Source organism: Homo sapiens, chromosome 2 (assembly GCF_000001405.40).
Source record: "Homo sapiens chromosome 2, GRCh38.p14 Primary Assembly".
Lineage (NCBI taxonomy): Eukaryota > Metazoa > Chordata > Mammalia > Primates > Hominidae > Homo > Homo sapiens.
This window is the reverse complement of record NC_000002.12, coordinates 81,394,561-81,396,809: the sequence shown is the minus strand read 5'-3', so window position 1 is coordinate 81,396,809 and position 2,249 is coordinate 81,394,561. Positions and strand designations below refer to the sequence as shown.

The following is a 2,249-nucleotide window of genomic DNA, read 5'->3' as shown; positions in this document are numbered from 1 at the left end:
GCCATTTTTCCTTTTAATGTGCATGCTCAAGCCCACTCACCCAGTTCCTGAGATCTTATTGGAAGCTACCGATCACCAATTTCAGGTGTCTCTATCTACTGGGAAATTTCCTCTCCCTGGCACCCGCTGTGACCAATTATCATTTTAGAGAAGCAATGTAACAACTGCAGGACTATCACCTGATGGTTGCCTGACATTCCTGGTGGGTAGGGGGAGCCCTTTCCTGTCCTGCTCATGGCTGATTAGCTACCTACTGTAACAGGAACATAAATTCTGAACACCTATTTACTGCACTATTGGTGATGTAGCAAGAAAGGTTGTAAGATGTTATTCTTAGTAGATCAAAAATAACTCTGATAAATTCCCCAATTCAAGTTAGTTTCAATTCAATACTGACAAATATGTATCAAACATCTATTATTTTCTAAAAGCTTTATTGTCAAAGGGAAAATATTAGGTAGGGTACGGGTAAATCTGGTCTGCTAAAATAAATTGAAAATAGATTAACAGGGGAAAACAATATACAGTTTTACTAATGTTCAAATGTATATAGGAGCCATACAAAATATGACTCAAAGAAGAGCTGAATGATTAAAGCTTAAATAGTGCCCTCTTCATAAGGGAGAGGGAGATGGAGGAATGTAAGCAATTTTGAGGGTGTGGTAAATGATTTTTAGAAGACTTAATCTGGGCCCAAGGAACAGACAATAGTTTGTAAATAATTCTCTTTTAATACTGAACGGGACCTCAAGAATAAACAATGACCTGGGACAATGTTTCTCTGAGCTCATTAAGAGAGATGGCAATTAACCTCAAGAAGGTTAGAAAAGGAGCTTCACTGTGAACAAAGGTTTTTCTTATTATGCAGATACCGTCTCCCAGGTAATCTCTCAGAGCTACCCTTAGAAGAATAGGTGAAAAGTTTGTCTGCACATGGTGATGACTTTTAGTCTTTTCTCCTCTCTGGTGGTTAATCTTTTCTGGTTATTTGATAATATTCCTAAAGAGGTTACAAGACAATTGCATTTCTTTTGGAAGAAGTTTTTCCCAGTCAGACAAGGGAACTTCCAGGGAGAATGCCTCCCTGTACTTGGCAGGAGAAAAACAAAAAAAGGTTAGAAAGTCCTTCATTCTGAGGCAGCTTCTAAGTCCTTCCAATTTCCTTTAATTCAAAAGTACTCAGCCTGCCAGAGCACTATACTTGGTTATTGTTCTCTGAGCCCCCACACCCCCCGCCGACCAAAATTGGGAACTTTCATTGATGTGAGTAGTTTTGATAGTATTACTTTATAAAGTTATATAAACATTTTAGATACATTTAATCACTTGAAACTTTGAGGGGGAAATAAAATGTCAACAGGGAAATAAAATATCAACAGGAGTAATGTATTCATGATCTAGATGGGACTATATCCTTTGAGAGCTTATGGTAACAAAATAGGAGATTGCTCAACGATTGACAGTTTTCATAAAGTTTTTGAAAGCAGATTTTTGTATATAAAATATAGCTATGATTTAGTGACACTTTAGAAAGGAAAATGATTCAAAATTAATTACCATGTAAAAAATGGAATTTTTATTGAGAACCATGAATAACTTAAAAAAATCAAATGAAAATAATGTAAAATGCATAGTAAGGAAGTCCAATGTCTTTTTTTCTTTCAAGATTCTGGACTCTTTCTCCTTTTCTCCTATTTTCCCCTTTCTCCCTTTCTCTCTGTCCCTCCCTCCCCCTTCTTTATTTTCTTTTTTAATTATAAGTGGTTCAGAGACATGCATATATCCATGGAAGAGTAAAAGAGAGTGACAAAGGTGTAGAAGACGAGTGGCAGAACATGAGCTCAGAATGAGCTGTGGCTTATGACAGTAATAAACATCAGAAAACTGGTTCTTCAGGCAATGTTTTCAGTGGGAGGATGAACAAGAAAGAAGGTCAACTGCTTGAGGCAAGCGCTGTTATTTTAATAGATGTCAAAGAGACAGAAGCCTATCCTAGTCTAATTTTTCTTCTATTACCAGCAGCAAGTAGAAAGCTCTTCAAACTGAAGAGTGGGATAAATATATAAAAGAGAGAATTAAATGCTTAAATCAGGTATTCCAAACTTTAATGCCTTTAGCCACCAGAAAGATAACAAAGAGGCACACAGAGTGTAGGAAAAAAAATGAGGGGAGTGTGGAACTGAAGAGAAATGAACAGCACATCCTTATCTGAAAGGATTTATATTCCATTATAAAGAACAATAATACAT

At 36.4% G+C, this 2,249-nt stretch overlaps 1 annotated feature.

Annotated features, from left to right (window-relative positions):
• Positions 536-1,050: an enhancer, noted in NCBI's record as "NANOG hESC enhancer chr2:81622884-81623398 (GRCh37/hg19 assembly coordinates)". NCBI's record gives its function as "activates a minimal SCP1, AML or CMV promoter by ChIP-STARR-seq in primed H9 embryonic stem cells {active_cell/tissue: H9 hESC(primed)}" and the evidence as "EXISTENCE:reporter gene assay evidence [ECO:0000049][PMID:30033119]".